The sequence below is a fragment of the Homo sapiens genome, chromosome 6 (genome assembly GCF_000001405.40).
Source record: "Homo sapiens chromosome 6, GRCh38.p14 Primary Assembly".
Lineage (NCBI taxonomy): Eukaryota > Metazoa > Chordata > Mammalia > Primates > Hominidae > Homo > Homo sapiens.
The window spans coordinates 170,317,273-170,337,633 of record NC_000006.12 but is presented as its reverse complement, the minus strand read 5'-3'; the positions used below and the strand labels follow the sequence as shown (position 1 = coordinate 170,337,633).

Sequence of the window (20,361 nt, the reverse complement as noted above, 5' to 3'; positions counted from 1 at the left end):
CTACCAGAGGTACAAAGAGGAGTTGGTACCATTCCTTCTGAAACTATTCCAAACAATAGAAAACAAGGGACTTTTCCCTAACTCATTTTATGAGGTCAGCATCATCCTGATACCAAAACTGGCAGAGACACAACAAAAAAAGAAAATTTCAGGCTAATATCTCTGATGAACATCGATGCGAAAATCCTCAATAAAATAATGGCAAACCAAATCCAGCAGCACATCAAAAAATTTATCCACCACGATCAGGTCGGCTTCATCCCTGGGATGCCAAGCCTGGTTCAATATATGCAAATTAATAAGCGTAATCAATCACATAAATGAACCAATGACAAAAATCACGTTTATCTCAATAGATGCAGAAAAGGCCTTCGATAAAATTCAACAGCCCTTCATGCTAAAAACTCCCAGTAACTAGGTATTGACGGAAGATATCTCAAAATAACAAGAGCTATTTATGACAAACCCAAAGCCAATATCATACAGAATGGGCAAAAGCTGGAAACATTCCCTTTGAAAACCGGCACAAGACAAGGATGCCCTCTCTCACCACTCCTATTCAACACAGTATTGGAAGTTCTGTCCAGGGCAATCAGGCAAGAAAAAGAAATAAAAAGTATTCAAATAGGAAGAGAGAAAATCAAATTGTCTCTGTTTGCAGATGACGTGATTGTATATTTAGAAAACCCCATTGTCTCAGCCCAAAAACTCCTTAAGGTGATAAGCAACTTCAGCAAAGTCTCAGCATACAAAAATCAATGTGCAAAAATCACAAGCATTCCTATACACCAATAATAGACAAGCAGACAGCCAAATCATGAGTGAACTCCCATTCACAATTGCTACACAGAGAATAAAATACCTAGGAATACAACTTACAAATGACGTGAAGGACCTCTTCAAGGAGAACTACAAACCACTGCTCAAGGAAATAAGAGAGGACACAAACAAATGGAAAAACATTCCATGCTCATGGATAGGAAGAATTAATATCATGAAAATGGCCATACTGCCCAAAGTAATTTATAGATTCAATGCTATTCCCACCAAGCTAACATTGACTTTCTTCATAGAATTAGAAAAAACTACTTTAAATTTCATATGGAACCAAAAAGCCCGTATAGCCAAGACAACCGTAAGCAAAAAGAACAAAGCTGGAGCCATCACGCTACCTGACTTCAAACTATACTACAAGGCTACAGTAACCAAAACAGCGTGGTACTGGTACCAAAACAGATATATAGACCAAAGGCCTCAGAAATAACACCACACATCTACAACCATCTGATCTTTGACAAACCTGACAAAAACAAGCAACAGGGAAAAGATTCCCTGTTTAATAAATGGTGCTGTGAAAACTGGCTAGCCATAAGCAGAAAACAGAAGCTGGACCCCTTCCTTATACCTTATACAAAAATTAACTCAAGATGGATTAAATACTTAAACGTAAAACCTAAAACCATAAAAACCCTAGAAGAAAACCTAGACAATACCATTCAGGACATAGGCATGGGCAAAGACTTCATGACTAAAACACCAAAAGCAATTGTGACAAAAGCCAAAATTGACAAATGGGATCTAATTAAACTGAAGAGCTTCTGCACTGCAAAAGAAACTATCATCAGAGTGAACAGGCAACCTACAGAATGGGGGAAAATTTTTGCAATCTATCCTTCTGACAAAGGGCTAATATCCAGAATCTACAAGGAACTTAAATTTCAAGAAAAAAACAACCCCATCAAAAAGTGGATGAAGGATATGAACAGACACTTCTCAAAAGAAGACATTTATGCAGCCAACAAACATATGAAGAAAAAAGCTCATCATCACTGGTCATTAGAGAAATGCAAATTAAAACCACAATGAGATACCATTTCATGCCAGTCAGAATGGTGATCATTAAAAAGTCAGGAAACAACTATGCTGGCGAGGATGTGGTGAAATAGGAATGCTTTTACACTGCTGATGGGACTGTAAATTAGTTCAACCATTGTGGAAGACAGTGTAGCAATTCCTCAAGGGTCTAGAACCAGAAATACCATCTGACCCAGCAATCCCATTACTAGGTATATACCCAAAGGTATAAATCTTTCTACTATAAAGACACATGCACACGTATGTTTACTGCAGTACTATTTACAATAGCAAGGCTTGGAACCAATCCAAATGCCCATCAATGATAGACTGCATAAAGAAAATGTGGCATACACACACCATGGAATACTATGCAGCCATAAAAAAGAATGAGTTCATGTCCTTTGCAGGGACATGGATGAAGCTGGAAACCATAATTCTCAGCAAACTAACACAAGAATAGAAAACCAAACACCGCATGTTCTCACTCATAAGTGGGAGTTGAACAATGAGAGCACACGGACACAGGGAGGGGAACATCACACACTGGGTCCTGTTGGGGGGTTGGGGGCAAGGGGAGGGGCAGCATTAGGACAAATACCTAATGCATGTGGGGCTTAAAACCTAGATGACGGGTTGATAGGTGCAACAAACCACAATGGCACATGTATACCTCTGTAACAATCCTGCAAGTTCTGCACATGTATCCCAGAACTTACATTAAAAAAAAAAACAAAAAAAAAACTCAAAAAACCCTGACTACGCACATGCAAAGTGAATCTTTAGATGAACAAAATTCAAAAGCCTATTTATAATAAGCAAAAAAATTCATTCATATATAAACAAAACAGAATACATTTACATCTCAATACATCAAACTCTATACTTACATGGATAAGTTTTCTAATTTCATGCTTGCAAAAATTACATCATTACACCACTCCCATCTAATGCATTCAACAGTGAAAGTGGCTATAAAAAGTAGTAATGCAAAATTTAACCCTTGTGACTCTAATGTGAATTTGTTAACACATTTGACAAAGCTTCACACTATTTTTTACAAGTTGGTGAAAAACTGCTTTTGAGATTTTAACCAATTTATGTTGATCTGCAATGGTCGGGGCAGTTTCAGACACTGGCAGCCACATGAGCAGAGCCTCACCAAGGGCAGGCACACACACACCCAGCTTCCTTAAGGGCATGTGCACACACACACACACACACACACACACCAGCTTCCTTTTACCACTCACAGAAACCTCCAAGACTTGTTGAGCACTTTCTTGACTGACCTTGCAACAAGGATCAGATGAAAACCTTCAACAGTGTATGTAAGAGGAGGTGAACAAGAAAGCCACTACAACTGTTTGATAGCAAATGACAGATTGAATCAAATACATGGTCCTTTTTTCATGAAATGTATGACTTACCCTCATTTCGTTTTGTAAAATAGTCTTCTAAGATATTCTGCAATTTTGGTAAATCAAATGTGTATAGCCAAGAAATACTAAGCTTTCTGATTGTTGAACACCACTTTAAAAAGGTTCTTCAAGATAGACAAATTACCAATGAGATGTGTGCATTAGTTTTCCTAGGTTTCTAAAATAAGGATATGCTTAAAGTAACTTAAAAAAACAACACTTAGAAGAGAAAAAAAGCCACCAGCACTTTGAAAATGAAGAATTGACAAATCTCCAATTCTGGAGACTGAAAAGGCAATTTCAAATGCTTGCCTTTGGTGTGGGCCAAGACTCCCAGCCACAGAATGGAGAACGTCAGGAAAGTTAGTAAGGGAGTGAGAGCAGGCAGTGTGCTGGGAAAGGGTAGACACACATGCACACATCAAGGACCTTTACGAGCTGGGTTTGGGAAATGGAAGCTAAACTGTGTTATCAGAAACATCATCTTCCATGATATATTGTAAAAGAAATGAAATGTAGTATATATATCCTATATACATGCTCCCACATGCACACACGTAAAGATGGGGCCCATACGCTGGGCAGTGGCTGACGCCTGTAATCCCAGCACTTTGGGAGGCAGAAGCGGAAGGATCATTTGCGGCCAGGAGTTTGAGACCAGCCTGGCCAACAAGGCGAAACCCAGACTCTACTAAAAATACAAAAATTAGTTGGGTGTGGTGGCATGTGCCTGTAGTCCCAGCTACTCAGGAGGCGGAGGTTGCAGTGAGCTAAGATTGTGCCACTGCATTCCAGCCTGGGCGACAGAGTGAGACTCTGTCTCAAAAAAAAAAAAAAAAAAGATGAGGCTCACAGAAATATATGCATGTAAATAAGCTCCCTGAATAAAACAAACCAGTGTCTTGGTCCATCTGAGATGCTATGGCAAAACACCATAAATTAGGTAGCTTTTAACAGCAGAAAATTTCTGGAGGCTGGAAGCCCAAGATCAAGGTGCCAGCATGGTTGGCTTCTGGTGAGGCCCCGCTTCCTGGTTCACAGATGGCACATTGGCACCTTCACACGGAAGAAGGGGCCTCTTTTATAAGGGCAGGAATCCCATCTAATCACCTCTTTCCCTCCCAAAGGCCCCACCTCCCAATACCATCACATTAGTGATTAGGTTTTCAATACAGGAATTGCGGGGGGCGGGGGGGCGGTGGGGTGGGGGTACAAACATTCAAACCATAGCACCCAGGAATGAGATTTCTTTTTCTGCTCCCTGGCTCGTTAATTTTGATTATTTCCCCTTCCTAATTTTTAACTAATTTCTATAGTTTTTTTCTGCACCCTTCGGCCTCAGTTCCACTTTGTTGGAAAATACTTGTGATTTCCTTTTATTTCTACAATTCAGGAAAGCAAGCATTAAATCACATGTGCTACCAGAGGAAAAAGACTTTAAAAAAAAAGAAAGAACATGGGCCACTATATTGAAAAATTCACTGAAAATGTAGCACTTATGAGATTATCCTAATTAAAACTGTCTTAGAAGAACAAGGAAAATCAGGTATGGGTGTCATTTGGGAAAAACTGGCTCTAATGGTGCGACAAGAACCTTTTGCAGGTTTTCCTGACAGGTGGACAGGAAGGGCCCATCGGCAGGATCTCACTTTTTTTTTTTGAGATGGAGTCTTGCTGTTGTCGCCCAGGCTGGAGTGCAATGGCGTGATCTCGGCTCACTGCAACCTCCGCCTCCAGGGTTCCAGCAATTCTCCTGCCTCAGCCTCCTGAGTAGCTGAGACTACAGGTGTCTGCCACCACACCCAGCTAATTTTTGTATTTTTAGTAGAGACAAGGTTTCACCATGTTAGCCAGGCGGGTGTCAAACTCCTGATCTCAGGTGACCCATCTGCCACGGCCTCCCAAAGTGCTGGGATTACAGGCGTGAGCCCCCCAACCCCACCCAGCTGATCTGTTTTTAATCGTATGTTGTATTCATGTGAATACTTGACAGGCAATTGGATGTTCTGTTTTCCATTTTTGTCTAAAATCATTTGGCAATATTCCTCATAGATACGGAAAAGCACTTAAAATTTAAAATCTTGTCTTTTGAATTATCATCATTATTGATGATATTGCATTAGTGCAAGTGTAAATAAGGAGTCACCCATTGAAATAATCTGGAATAAAAAATTCAAATCCAATTTCTAGAGTAACAGCTGTGGAAATGAGTGTGTTTGAGATGTGGCCCTCCGTGTAAAAGTTCAAATCCTATGTCTGGAGTAATAGCTGTGGAAATGAGTGTGTTTAAGACGTGGCCCTCCATATAAAAATTCAAATCCAATTTCTAGAGCAATAGCTGTGGAAATGAATGTGTCTGAGACGTGGCCCTCCGTATAAAAGTTCAAATCCTATGTCTAGAATAATAGCTGTGAAAATGAGTGTGTTTGAGACGTGGCCCTCCATGTAGGGCACAGGCTTCCGGAGCTCCTTCCAGAAGAGAACCCAATGTGTGGTCCAAGGTGCTATACACACGCTTTCCCACTCTAGGAGTGCAACAGAGGATGTTTTCACAAGCTCTGAAGTAGTCTCTCTAATACTTATACAATTTCTGGAATTTATTAAAACATTATATAGAGTGGCCTTTAAAATTAACTCTTGACACAATGACGAACAGTCAAATGTTCTCTTTAATTCAAACAATGAAAAGAGATGTAATAGTCATTTTCCATATTATATTTGGAAAGATACTATAAGATGAAAATACATATATAATAAAACATTTTTGGAAAATTATTTTGGCTATCCTTTAAAAAAATGCTCCTTACTGCAAAAACAAATGTCAATGCATTCTAATTATGTTTCTCTGGTAAGTACTTTTAAGGTTTTAGTGTATGATTAACAGAATAAGGAAACACTCCCTACAATAGCTTTTCTCAACTTCTCTCTCAATACAATTCCATTTATTTAAAAACCAATTATAGTGCTCAGATCTGTACTTGGTAAATTACACGTTCATGTCATGGAAAATAGTAGCGAAACCAGAGAATTTAATGCATATGAAAATGGAATAGCAAAACTGTAGGAAAATATTTGTTCGGTGAAACAATGACATGAGCCACTAAAAATAAACTCTGAAGCTTAGCCTCCTCTTCCTTAACTGTTTGTGTGTAGAACCCTACCCTGACACTTGTACATTCCTGACCTGTTTCAGATACTACGAACTCACAGAAAGAAAGGCTGCTCTTTGGATATACTTCAGCTAATCTGCAGGTGAACTTTGTTTTTCCTTACCTCTCATTAAGCTTTAAGATATTGCTCATGAAAATATAACCTTTTTTCCAGTGGAAATAACCCTCCTTTATCTTCTCTTTCTGGTGCCAGAACTCATCAAAATATGCTTTCAGTGGTGGGGAGAAGGTAAGATTGTTGATTCAAGCAGAATATCAAGAATCTATCCTGTTAAACTCTGGACGTCTACCAAGCAACAACTAGACATCAGGCACTGGGGCTGCGGCAGCAACATGCGCTGACCACGGCCATCCTTCTGTCTCTTTTCTCTCTCCACTGCTGTGGACCTGGACCAGGGTGGATGGAGAAAGAGGCAGAGCACCGCCGCAGATGGTCCAGGGTAAACCTGCCACAGCATCATCCTTCCATTATTTTGGGACTTTGTTAGATGGATACATTAATCATGAGCCAAGGGTTTAAATAAAAACTAGTATTTGTGCAATTCTGGTAAAAGATGCTTTCCATAACTGATGCATTCTTAGACTTTTATCATAGAATGGAAAGATCTGTGGTTCATTTAAAGAAAGGCTGCCTGTACCTGGAATGGTCATCTGCAGCGGCCTGACGAGGTCCGGGTGCCTCAGTGGGTTCCCAGGATACACAAACCACTCCTTGACAGCTAGGCAGGTGCTGGTGACATCTGAAGAAAAAGAGTTGGGTCAGTAGATGCATGAGGGCATGCATCGCCAGGCTCACAGTGTCACAGACCCAGCTCTGCCCAGGTGGCCAATTCAAAGGTGAGCTCTCAAATCCAAGGTGACTGAGTAACCTTAAGTTATCCAACAATTAATTTCTTATCCTCCAATCTGAGGGTAATCTGTTCATTCCATCAAGAACCATACCCTGTGGAACCGACAAAATCCTCAGGATAATCTGGGTAAGTAAACAATAATATGGGAGAGAGAGTTTACCATGTTAATGACTCCTACGATGTCTTTCCTCCCTACCTCCCTCACACTGTTCCAGAAAACACTTAAAGAAAACTGCTGGAATTGGACAGTCAACATGGATACAGTTTTTTAAAGCAAGACCAGGTAAAGAAGACAGTGGGTGTAACTGAGGAACTCTGAAGGGAGGAGGTCAGCAGAGAACAGGTGCTTAAGGGGGAAGGGAAGAAGAGGTGGTGTCCCTAGATGCCAGATATCCCAGCACAAAGGTGATCATCAGTCAGACAGCTGCTCAAGTTGGGCAGAGGGCTTCGATGCGGGGCAGAAAGAGGCAGTGGGCTTGGTCCAGGGCTGGGGGAAGCAGGCCTTGATGAAGAGAAGAAGAGTGGACACTTCTATAAAAGAGCTGAGAAATGAAGTGGAGAGATGTCCCCTTAATGTAGCACAAAAACACAAAAACAGGAATCAAAAGATGAAGAAAGAGAGTATCAGTCCAGGAAGCCCCACCTGCATTTCACAGCACTTCCAGGAGAGAACTGAGACAACAGAGATTCGCTAATCACAGGATAAAGAGAACACCTCAAAACCTTCTAAGAAAAAAAAAAAAGTCGGTAAAAAAGGAACATGAATCACTCCAGCACTCGACTTTGCAGCTGGCATTATCAGCACCTGTGATGCCACAGGACCGCGGGGGTGACTGTGATCGAGCAGAGCCACTGAGCAGGGGACAGTGGGGGTGGTCGTTTGTGAAAGGGCAGAGCCACTGACCAGCCTTCCTACCATCAACACTAGAACTGAAGAAATGGTTCTAGCAACTGCATTCATGTGACGGACAATGGGCAGTGCCAGATTGTTATCCCAGACAGAAGGGAAACAACTCTCTATCACGCCAATTTTGTGCCCACAGGCACTGTCCAGACTGTATCCTAGTGAGGGAGGTAGTTCCTCAGATGAGGAGACAGAGACTGGAGATCAAGACTATTGAGGCCACCATCTGCAGGACACAGCACCAGAGAGCAGGGCAGTGTGCAGATGGCAAGTGCCCTTTAGACTCTGGCTGAAGAGAGAGCTATCAGGATATAGGGTAAGACTCAGAGAAGCCAGGCAAGGTCCTGGGGCTGGCCAACCAATGGAGCTTGCACTGGGCTTGAAGACAGTGGAGCTTCCACCACCAGCAAACATGAAGAGACCTCGTCCTACACCTTGGGCACTCTGGTGATAGCCTGGAAGGCCCTGCCTTAGGAGTAGGGCTGTGCTAGCTGTAAAGTAAAAGCCACAATGGACACAGCCTAATGAAGTTTAAAGGCAAGTCTCGGAAGGAGCAGGTAGAGTAACTGTCTGACAGAACTAAACTCTACACTCTTTTTAGTATCCAAAATGTTCTGGCATATAATCAAAAAACGCTAGACATGAGAATAAGCAAAACTATGTGGACCCTGTAGGAGGAAGTCAACAAATGGCCCAGAGGAAGAGGCAAAAGAGATTGAGAAAGACAAAATCTTATTTAAAAAAACGCTCATTTCTTCCAAATTTGATAGGAAATATAAACCCATAGATTTAGGAAGCTCAAGAATCCCATGAAGGGGGCAGGAGTGAACCTTACTCAAAATCCAGCAAACAGGAGAGGAATTGCAAAGACAGCTAGAGGAGAAAAGCCACGTAACACATGGGGAACAACGATAAAGATGAGCCTTGCTGTCTCATCAGAAACTACACATGCCAGGAGAAAATACAGAACGACCTAAAATTCTATATGCAGCAAAACTATACCCCCCCAAAGAAAGATGAAATACAGTCCTGTACTGCATAAACCATGATTTGGTTAGTGATGGACTGCACACACATTTCTGGTGAAGCCTTGATGATCCTGACCCCGTGGAGTCCTAGACTAATGTGCGTGCTTGTGTCTGAGCTTTTAACAAAGAAGTTTAAAAAAATTAAAAGTTTCTAAAGTATGAATTCAGGAAGTAGAGTTAAAAATTTTTCTAATAGAAAAAGGCTTATAGAATGATATAAAGAAAGAATTTTTTGTCCAGTTGTATAATGTGTTTGTATTTTAAGTTAGGTGTTAATTACAAGAGTCAAAAAGTTAAATAAATTTAAAAGTTTATAAAGTAAAAAAGTTACAGTAAGTTAAGGTTAATTTATTGTTGAGGAAAGAAATATTTTTTGAATGTATTATAGCCCTAAATGTGCAGTATGTATAAAACCTACAGCAGTGTATGGTCATGTCCTGGCCTTCCCATTCACTTCCCACTCGCTCACCGGAGTCACCAGAGCAGCCTGCGTGTGCAGTGTGTGTAAAGCCTACAGCAACACGGTCATGTCCTGGCCTTCCCACTGACTCTTCACTCACTCATGGACTCACCGGAGCAGCCTGCGTGTGCAGTGTGTATAAAGCCTACAGCAGTATACGGTCGTGTCCTGGCCTTCCCACTGACTCTTCATTCACTCATGGACTCACCGGAGCAGCCTGCATGTGCAGTGTGTATAAAGCCTACAGCGGTGTATGGTCATGTCCTGGCCTTCCCACTCACTCTCCACTCACTCATGGACTCACCGGAGCAGCCTGCGTGTGCAGTGTGTATAAAGCCTACAGCAGCATGGTCATATCCTGGTCTTCCCACTCACTCCCCACTCACTCATGGACTCACCGGAGCAGCCTCCGTGTGCAGTGTGTATAAAGCCTATAATTTAAAGTGGAAATTGGCAAACTACCAGCTCATGGGTCAAATCTGCCTGCTTTTTTACAGTCTGAAAACTAATAATGTTTTCATATTTTTTTAATGGTTGGAAAAAAATGTTTTTAAGAATATTTTGTGACTCCTGAAAATTATACTCTATAAAATTCAAGTTGGCCGGGCGCGGTGGCTCACGCCTGTAATCCCAGCACTTTGGGAGGCCGAGGTGGGCGGATCACAAGGTCAGGAGATCGAGATCATCCTGGCTAACACAGTGAAACCCCGTCTCTCCTAAAAATACAAAAAATTAGCCGGGCATGGTGGCGGGTGCCTGTAGTCCCAGGTACTTGGGAGGCTGAGGCAGGAGAATGGTGTGAACCCGGGAGGCGGAGCTTGCAGTGAGCCAAGATTGTGCTACTGCCCTCCAGCCTGGGCGACAGAGCAAGACTCCATCTCAAAAAAAAAAATTCAAGTTTTGGCCTGGTGCGGTAACTCACATCTGTAATCCCAACACTTTGGGAGGCTGACGTGGGGGATATCTTGAGGTCAGGAGTTTGAGACCAGCCTAGGTAACATAGCGAGATCCTATCTCTTCAAAAAAAGAATATTTAAAAATTAGCCGGGTGTGGTGGCGCATGCCTGTCATCTCAGTTACTCAAGAGGCTGAGGTAGGAGGATCCCTTCAGCCTTGGAGTTGAAGGCTGCAGTGAGCTGTGATGGTGCCACTGCACTCCAGCCTGGGCAACAGAGTGAGACTCTGTCTCTAAAAAATAAATAAATCAATAAAATAAAATTCAAGTTCTGTCACATGGGAAAATTGAATAAAGGCTTCCTGGCACACAGCCACATTCATTCATGTACATGTTGTCTATGGCTGCTCTTGCACTACAACAGCAGGATTGGGTAGTTGTGACGGGGACTGTGGAAGGAGCCCTCAAAACCTACAATATTTATTATTATCTGACCCTTCACAGAAAAAGTGTGCCAACCCCTCATGTATTATAGGGTTTACAACATATGCATAATCTCCAAAGGTTACATATTGTATGCTGCCATTTATGTAACATTCTGAAATGAACAAGAACATAGAGATGAAAAACAGATTCGCAGTTGCCAGAGGACAGGAATGGGGGGAAGAAAGATTGCCAGGACACAGGGGCACATGGAGGGAGTGCTAACAAACCAGCTCTGTATCTTGGCTGTGGTGGTAGCTGCAGGATCTTTGCACAGACCTACACACCCACACACATAAATGCATGCATGTAAAAAATGGCACAACTGAATAAGGTCTGCAGTTTAGTTAGCATTGTACCTGATGTTAACTTTCTGGCTTTGATATTACACCACAGTTATATAAGATGTCATCTTTGAAGGAATCTGAGTGAAGGGTACATGGGAAACTATGTACTATTCTTGCAACTTCCTGTGAATCCGTAATTATTTCAAATTTAAAATATATATATATGTACAAGACATAAAACGACAATAGCAAAAATGTTGGGGAGAATGAAAATACACAGTTACAAGGTTTTTACATTGCTAGTAACATAGTATATTATTTGATAGTAAATGGTGATGTTAAAGATATTAAAAGTAATTGCAAAAACCGCAATTATTTTTGCACCAATCTAACAGACCCCCAGATCAACCACTTTTTTTTTTTTTTTTTGAGATGAAGTCTCGCTCTTGTCCCCATCTTGTCCCCAGGCTGGAGTGCAATGGTGTGACCTTGGCTCACTGCAACCTCTGTCTCCTGGGCTCAAGCAATTCTCCTGCCTCAGCCTCTCAAGTAGCTGGGATTACAGGCACCTGCCATCATGCCCAGCTAATATCTGTATTTTTAGTAGAGACAGGGTTTCACCATGTTGGCCAGGCTGGTCTCAAACTCCTGACCTCAGGTGATCCGCCTGCCTCGGCCTCCCAAAGTGCTGGGATTACAGGCGTGAGCTACCGTGCCCGGCCAACTACTTTTTTTTTTTTTTTTTAAAGGTAAATCTAATAATCCAAATGAGTGCATAAAACACAATACTAAAAATTATTAAACTAATCCAAAAGAAGTATGAAAATGAGAAAATAAGGTGGGGAAAAAAGAACAAAAGGCAAAACGGAAGAGTGAGCCCTAATTATGCCAAGAGTTACGTTCAGTCTGAACATTCCAATTAAAAGAGAGACTGTGACACTGGACATGCTGTTTTTAAAAGAGATGCACTTTAGATGTTAAGAAATAGTTTAAAAGGATAGAAAAAATACCATACCATGCAAACATTAACAGTAAGAATACTGGAGTGACTATATTACAATAAAACAAAGACAACTTTAGGACAAGGAGTATTACCATGTTTTTAAAAGTGAACTCTCCTGTTAAAAGGGTCGATTCATTAAGAATCACAACAGTCCTCAACGTATATGCACCTAACAACAGAGTTTCAAAATACCTAAAGCAAAAACTGACAGAACTGAAGGAATAAATAGACAAATCCACAGTAAGAGCTGGAATTTTTAACCGTTTTCTCCTGGGAACTAAGAACAAGTAGACAGAAAATCAGTAAAAGACTTGGAATAGCCTTATTAACACTGCTGACATTTACAGAACACTCTACTCAACAACTGTAAAATACACAACATTTTCAACTACAAATGGGATCATAAACTAAGTCAAACAAATAACATAGGATACACTTCATTATTATCATCATATATAAATCAGCAAAAACAGCATTTTATTTTCATATCTTAATAATGTAAACTTCATGTAGAAAGCCAAAAAGTTGAGGGAGAAAGAAAGAAACTAAAGATCAACCATGAAGACAAATTCAATGTGAATGGTTTTTTTATGTGGTTATCTAATAAAGTTATCCACTTGGTCATAAATATATTACATTAACAAAGTATGAAATTTAGGTTAGTGAAATTTATATAGTTTAATGAAATAGTCTGAAAATAATTCCAATATTATTATTTAATGTAAAAATGTTTTCATGAGGAAGATCTCTTTTTTCCATCATTAGAGTCAATGTGCAAACATCCATGTTAAGAAAGAATGCGGGTAGAGAGCACATAAGAAACAGAAATTTTAAAAAATGATTTAAATATCGTTTGGCTCCAGAGTTTATTACACAGGTTCTTTATTTCTGTTTTTAAATCAGCTTAAACATCTTTCTCATGTCTGCTTCCTTAGGTCACAGAGGTGAACTCTTGCAGTATGTATGGGAGAAAGCAGTGCATGCTGGGTGGTGCTACAGGAATCTAACAAAAACTGGATTTAAATAACCCCACTACCCCTGAGCCCCATCATCCAAAAATAATAATGATGACTTTTCCATCTGATGATTCTATCACCACTTTTAGATTATGTAAATGTTCACTTTCTGGAACAACAGAGTACGGTTAATATTGACATGTCTGGAAATAATGATGTTTAGGCAAATGGACCACCTGCACCAGTATCCTACTCCTTCTCTCTCTTATCCTGGTAATAGTGTGTAGACCATGTTTCTTATCAACACATTCTCAAATCAGACCATAAAGTACCTAAGGTCTCTGTCTAAAATGAACAAGGCCTTACTGAAATAGAAGGGCACTAAATGCATTCAACATCTCTGGTTTCTGATATGAAGTGTTCTTCCACACTCCTCATTCCCCCCAAAACTATTCCAAATGGTGAGTTATGGGACCTTCACTAACTTTCTCCTTGGGGTTAAAATTCCTCATTTTCACTATTTGGGTCCTTGATGGTCCGCTCTCTACTCTTGTTGCTAAGCACATAATGGAAATATAGATGAGAAAAAACACAAATTACAAAAACACCAAAGGAAAATTGTTTGTATTTAAAAACATGATCACTAGATTTTGTAAAATTATTTTATAAAAATCACATTTTGAGGGAAGACTAAGTAGACATTGTTTTCTTCTAATAATAGGCATACTCTACTCTCCCCTACAGGAGGAAAGAATTCTCACATTTTTTAAAAAAGCAAAAATCCTTTTAAGGCATAAAAATATGACATTTTATAGAAATCATGCATTCTTCTTTTAATGCACACTCATCAACTTACTGTTCATTAGATATAGACGTCCAATGGCACTTACGCTTAATTTTTTACAGATGTCAGTGGTATTCTCAATTATAGATTTGACAGGGATATAAAACCCATTTAATTGTCTCCATGTCTTGAAAGAATGCACTCTATTTCATCTGGCCAGTTTCTCAGAACTCAACTCCAAATAGAACCTTTACTAAGAGGGACCAACCAATTCTCACCTTGACAGTCCTCCAGTAAGAGTGAGTAGACCCGCTGTCGAATGGGACGGTAAATGAAGGCCTGGCTGGGTAAGGCCTGGTCAAGCTCATCTTCTAGGGTGTTGCTGCATTCAATCTCTCCACTGCTCATGATGTTGTACACCAGGTAGCTTTCTGCTTGGACGTGATGTGTTCTAGCAACCTGTTTGAAATTTAAATACAACTGAATTTCTCCTTAAAAACAGGATAGTAACCTTCAAATAGAAAAAGTCAATGCCTTTCATCATATGCCAGTTTTTTAAGGCCCTCAGAAATGTAACTGACCCTGAAATTCATGACATCAAGTTGCCATGTTCTCTTTCCTTTGGACTACCAATTTCAAACTTTCTATTCCCCCTCCTCCTCCTCTCTCCAAACGTCTACCAGTCTTATCTTCTGCAGTATCTCACTGTTCTGTCTCCTTGATAACCTCCCAGTAACCAGGTGCTCACTACTTCTCACCAGTATTGCTATGAAAGGGTCTTAATCCCCTAGACCAGTTTCTCCCCTTTCCAACCCATCCTTCACACCATTGCCATACTGTCTTTGAAAACTTTGCTACCCTATTCAAAACATTTGAATGGCTACCACAAATCCTTCACCATAACATTTGAGGCCCCTCTATAAAGCCTCAATCTCCTTTTTCTAGCCTTGCACACCATTTCACCCTCATAGAAATAGCCATAATTCAGTCTCAACAGAACATCTTCATTGCTCCTCAAGAGTACTCAATCCTCTTCTACCTTTACTTGTGCCCCATAAGAACTTACCCTACCCAGAATCTTTCTCTTCCAGTCTTTCCCAGCCTCCCACTTTACAATCCTCTTTTCCCTTTAAGGTTTGCTGATGTCACCCTCTCCTCCTCCCTTAGACAGGACCAACATCCAGCTTGCCTTATGGAGCTCATATCCTATTTTCCCTGTAACGCAGCTGTCTGGTCTGCCTCCCTTATTAAACTGTAAGCTGCTTAGTGTTAGAAGCCGTACTATATTCATTCACTCATTTGTTGAGAAATTGTTTACTGAGTGAAAAACCATGTGCCAGGCACAGGTGCTTCTCCTCTGTAATGTCAAGACAGTGCTGGCTCATGGTAGGTGATGAGATACATGATTTAAATTAATTCCACTTTCTCATTAAGTAAGTAGTTAAAATCAGAAGGGCTATCATAGCCTGAATATATAGGTTTTACCTTCCAGTGAAGAACATTCTTATTACTGTGAGAATAAGTTCATCTAGATTACTATTCAAAATTTAAATCCAGTCTACTACTAAAGGCATTAAAATGTGATGCTAGAATAACCTGGATACCAAAAACTCTGAATCCTAAGAGTGTCTCATTTATATGTATTTAAATAGTCCTAGTTATGTTGATTCATTATTCATAGGCTTCAGTCTTAATCTCTCTGTTCCTTACCTTCTTCCTATAGAAAATGGGTTGAATAAAAACGTGCCCGGCTCCCAGGACTACTGTGAGGATTAAATGAGTCAATATAAGAAAAGCACTTGTCCTGAGGTGTGGCTTGCAGCTCACTGCCAATGCATGTTCTATAAGATTATAAGACTATCCGGCCAGGAACGGTGGCTCATGCCTGTAATCCCAGCACTTTGGGAGGTCGAGGTGGATCACTTGAGGTCAGGAGTTCAAGGCCAGCCTGGGCAACATGGCGAAACCCCATCTTTACTAAAAAATACAAAAATTAGCTGGGCGTGGTGGAGTGCACCTGTAGTCCCAGCTACTCAGGAGGCTGAGGCAGGAGAATTGCTTGAACCTGGGAGGCAGAGGATATAGTGCCACTGCACTGCAACCTGGGTGACAGTGAGACCCTGACTCAAAGAAACAAACAGTAACTCAACTGATCTTCCAAAATGCTGACATAGAGAAGACACAGATATAAGGCTGTGGTTATGCGTGTATCCAATGTAACTGTTGTGCCCACAGCCTTTCTACCTGAGCATTTTTCCAGGGTGACTATGTATGGTTAAAATACACGTTTGAATTTTAGTTGCCTGTTAGGGTTTGAAGATGACATTGCAAAAAAATTTTATAGAGAAAATGTAAGGGCAATGTAAGAAACTTCAAAATTGTTTTCAAAGATACAATTAAGTTCAATCCATGTGAACAACTCTCGACCCACCACTTTGCCCAGGCACTCCCTTCCTGTGAGGACTCTCCTTGACCCTGCCTTCCCCAACAAAGTCTCTTCCACTGCCAAACTCCCTGTCGGCTTTGCCTCCACTCCCAACCCTGTGCTGCAGTAACTCTCTGATGCCATCAGGACCTCCTAATTACTGACCCAAGTCCCTATGTCTAGTCCTATTCTACCTCTTTACCTCTGTAGCATGTGATACTCCTGACCGTTTCTTTTCTCATTCTTGAAACTTGCCCCCTTGGACTTTTGTGGGGATTATCCCCTCCTTATTCTCCTTCCTCCTCTGCTCACTCCTGATCTCTCAGTGGACTGTTCCTTAAGTCTCCATCCCACATCATCTTTTACTTTACACATAAAATAGGATAACTCCCAGATGTCTGTCTCTTGCCAGTAATAGAACTTTAGGTCCATATTTCACTACGAGAACATGTGTTAGAGGTGCCATCTACTCAATTAAAATATAACCCACTTAATCTTCTTCTCCCTGTAAAACCTTTCCTCCTTCTTCTTTAGATTAACACCATCTACCATCGCCGGTACTCAAGGAGGAACTTCACCTCCACAGCAAGACTTATTTATTAGTTTCACTTCTGAAACATTTCTTGAATTTGTTTCTTCCTATTTCCACTGCCATTTTCCTAATTCTAGCTCTTTTGTATTTTACCTGAGTTACTACAATGGCCACTTTAAATCCACTCACTGCACTGTAATGTTTCAAAAACCAAAAATCTGATCATATCGATATACCTGCTTAAAAAAAATCGAATGCTGGTTGGCTGGCAGGTTCACATGGCTGCCCTCCAGGTATCACCACACAGCTGCTCAGCTGCTGTCCGGGCCTGAGTTTTGCATCAGACTAGGAGCAGGAGCTTCCTTACAGATCTATGTAGTTGTAACTAGATGAAAGATGGTGGTGCTCATAGTGCTGGGAACAAGGAAAGGTGTGTGGTTAAGATAGTTAAGTTTGGTTTAGAACTTGCTGAGGTACCTTTGAGACATTCATGTGGACACAGACCTCTTCTGTAAAACAAGGATAAGTCTATCTCACAGGGCTGTTGAGAAGATCTAATGAGAAAAGTTACCTAATGCACCTAGCACAGAACCTCACACGTAGTGGCCCCCCATCAAAAATCTTCAAAGGCGCTGTAATACTTTCAGAATTAAGTCCAAATTCCTCATGTGGCATTTAATAACCTTCCCAATTTGGCTATGATTGTCCACCTTTTCCCATTTTTTTCTCCAAACCCCACGCTCTAGCCTGGACTTTCTCCCTGCGCCCCCGCGTGATGCAGATTCAAAACGCTACACCTTTAGTACTTCCACAACTCCCAAGTCTTTGCTTATTCAATGCATATTTTGGCTGCCCCATTAAGGTCTGGCTCCAGTTCTACCTCTTTGGGGAACTTCTCCCTGTACTTTATTTATTTTTATTTTTTGAGACAGTTTTGCTCTTATTGCCCAGGCTGGAGAATCTCAGCTCACTGCAACCTCCGCCTCCCAGGTTCAAGTAAGTCTCCTGTCTCAGCCTCCCGAGTAGCTGGGATCACATGTGTGCGCCACCATGCCCAGCTGATTTCTGTATTTTTAGTAGAGACAGGGTTTCACCATGTGGGTCAGGCTGGTCTTGAACTCCTGACCTCAGGTGACCCACCTGCTTTGGGCCTCCCAAAGTGCTGGGATTACAGGCATGAGCCACCACGCCCGGCCTTCTCCCTGTACTTTAACCCACAATGTTCTCTTTCTCTCTTGTATTCTTATAGCACTTTTCTATAATATTCATGTGACAGTATCCAACATTGGTTGTGAGTTTCCACACATATAACGTCACACTTCCTAACGAGACTTAGAGACTCCTGTTGTGCATCCTCTCAGTGGCCAAACACTGAGGCAGTAATGGATCTTCACTAACAAATCCATCAGCGGATATATTTTCAATCATGGCATATTGGCTGGGCAGATACACATACCTTTAAGATTTCAGTGTCTGAAACCATGGTTACTTGTTGCTTTACTTCAGGCCCCACATTTGTGGGGTCTTCTTGTTTAATTTCAGGGTTTGTACACATGAGAGCTTCTAGCTTAAATTCAAAATCTGTTGCTACAGGTAATTTTTGATTGATTTCAGCGTGTGTACACATGGAGTCTTCTTGCTTGGATATAGGATCTGTACATATGGGAACTTCCTGTTTGGATTCATGGCCTGTACACATAATTTCTTGCCTAGATTCAGGGTCTGTCCGTATTAAAACTTCTTGCCTGGATTCAGGGCCTGTATACATGGGAACTTCTTGCCTGGATTCAGGGCCTGTATACATGGGAACTTCTTGCCTGGGTTCAGAGCCTGTATACATGGGAACTTCTTGCCTGGGTTCAGAGTCTGTATACATGGGAACTTCTTGCCTGGGTTCAGAGTCTGTATACATGGGAACTTCTTGCCTGGCTTCAGGGCCTGTACACATGGGAACTTCTTGCCTGGGTTCAGGGTCTGAACACATGGGAACTTCTCGCCTGGATTCAGGGCCTGTACACGTGGGAACTTCTTGCCTGGGTTCAGGGTCTGAACACATGGGAACTTCTTGCCTGGGTTCAGAATCTGTATACACGGGAACTTCTCGCCTGGATTCAGGGCCTGTACACATGGGAACTTCTTGCCTGGATTCAGCATCTGAACACATGGGAACTTCTTCCCTGGATTCGGCGTCTGAACTCGTGGATATTACTTGTTTGTCCAAAGTTATTACACCTTTGGGTTTTTGGAAAAACCATGGAGATTTTTGTCCTGGTAAAAGATATGATGCCATTCCTTTATAAAAAAGAGCTTTGTTTGGTCCCAGAGGTAATATCTCTTCTAATTTTTTCTCACCTTGATACAAGTAAAGAACTTTCGATATATGGTCTGACACAGCTAATATGATGTTACCTTTTTTGTCAAAGTTCTCTTTTACAGAGGTGTAGGACGATAAGCATTTGTACCTAAAGCTTTCAAACATGCCCTCTGGGATTATGTCGTTGCCAAGGAGGCAGGCCAGAAGAGGAAGGTCGGCCACACAGAGGCCCAGACTCTCACAGAGCTTCTCTCTGCAGAGCATGACGGTGTCCAGGCTCTCTAGGCAGAGCTCGCTAATTGAAAAGTAGGGACAAGTGTCATAGATTAGGTAATCAGTGTCTTCCCCCAGAATCCCAAGACAGTTATGCTGGAGGCCATAGGAAGCTACCTCATAATCTGCTTCCTGCAAAGAACACAAAGTTTCCTGGCCCAGTGTCTTTAGAGCAAATCGTGTAAACACAGCTAGCCCTGAGGGGATGAAGAACATATTTCTGCCTGGCTGCTCCTTGTGTGACTTGATGTAATGAAAAATCCTGGATATCTCCCTGTTGTTCTTGAGCCTTCGTTTCACCCATTCATCTCTCTTATCCTGCTCCACCATGCCATCAAAGAAGAATATCAACTTGATCCCAGCTGCCGTAAAAGTTTTAACAAAATCTCGCAAAGCAGAAAAGTATTCTCGCCACTGGCCACCGCAGATCCAAGATTCTGGAGTATACCAATATCTGAGACAACACATGGCATCAACCACAATGGTAGGGGTACATCCAGGATACTTGCTTCGGTGGTGCTCTGCCAGTTCTTTGAAATTTACTACTGTACATATATGTGGGCAGGTACTTCCCACAAATCCTTGCAAACCTCTCACACCCATAACTGAACTCCGGGAAAGGATCTGGAAAGAAAGATAAATTAATCAGTAATTATGGCATTATCATTAGATATATGGCACCTTTCAAAGCAAACACAGTAGTTAATATTCACACTGTTTC

General features: G+C 41.3%; 1 protein-coding gene and 1 non-coding gene across 16 annotated transcripts in view; both read right to left on the bottom strand.

Moving 5' to 3' along the window:
- FAM120B (family with sequence similarity 120 member B) overlaps positions 1 to 20,361 on the bottom strand; it is a 116,365-nt gene that overhangs the window by 69,434 nt on the left and 26,570 nt on the right. For 14 of the 15 annotated variants that reach the window (XR_002956306.2, XR_007059342.1, XR_007059343.1 and 11 more), the window contains exons 2-4: positions 18,510 to 20,264; positions 14,375 to 14,555; positions 7,084 to 7,185 (exon numbers count right to left, since the gene is read on the bottom strand). Coding sequence is in view for 12 of the 15 variants with exons in the window: in NM_001286379.2 (NP_001273308.1) it covers positions 7,084 to 7,185; positions 14,375 to 14,555; positions 18,510 to 20,264 (2,038 nt within the window). In the remaining 3 variants the exon portion in view is untranslated. The remainder of the gene's footprint in view (positions 1 to 7,083; positions 7,186 to 14,374; positions 14,556 to 18,509; positions 20,265 to 20,361) is intronic. The other variant, NM_001286381.2, reaches the window with a different exon arrangement.
- MIR4644 (microRNA 4644) lies at positions 6,790 to 6,873 on the bottom strand. Its single transcript, NR_039787.1, has one exon. It is a non-coding gene; the product is annotated as a microRNA 4644 (primary transcript).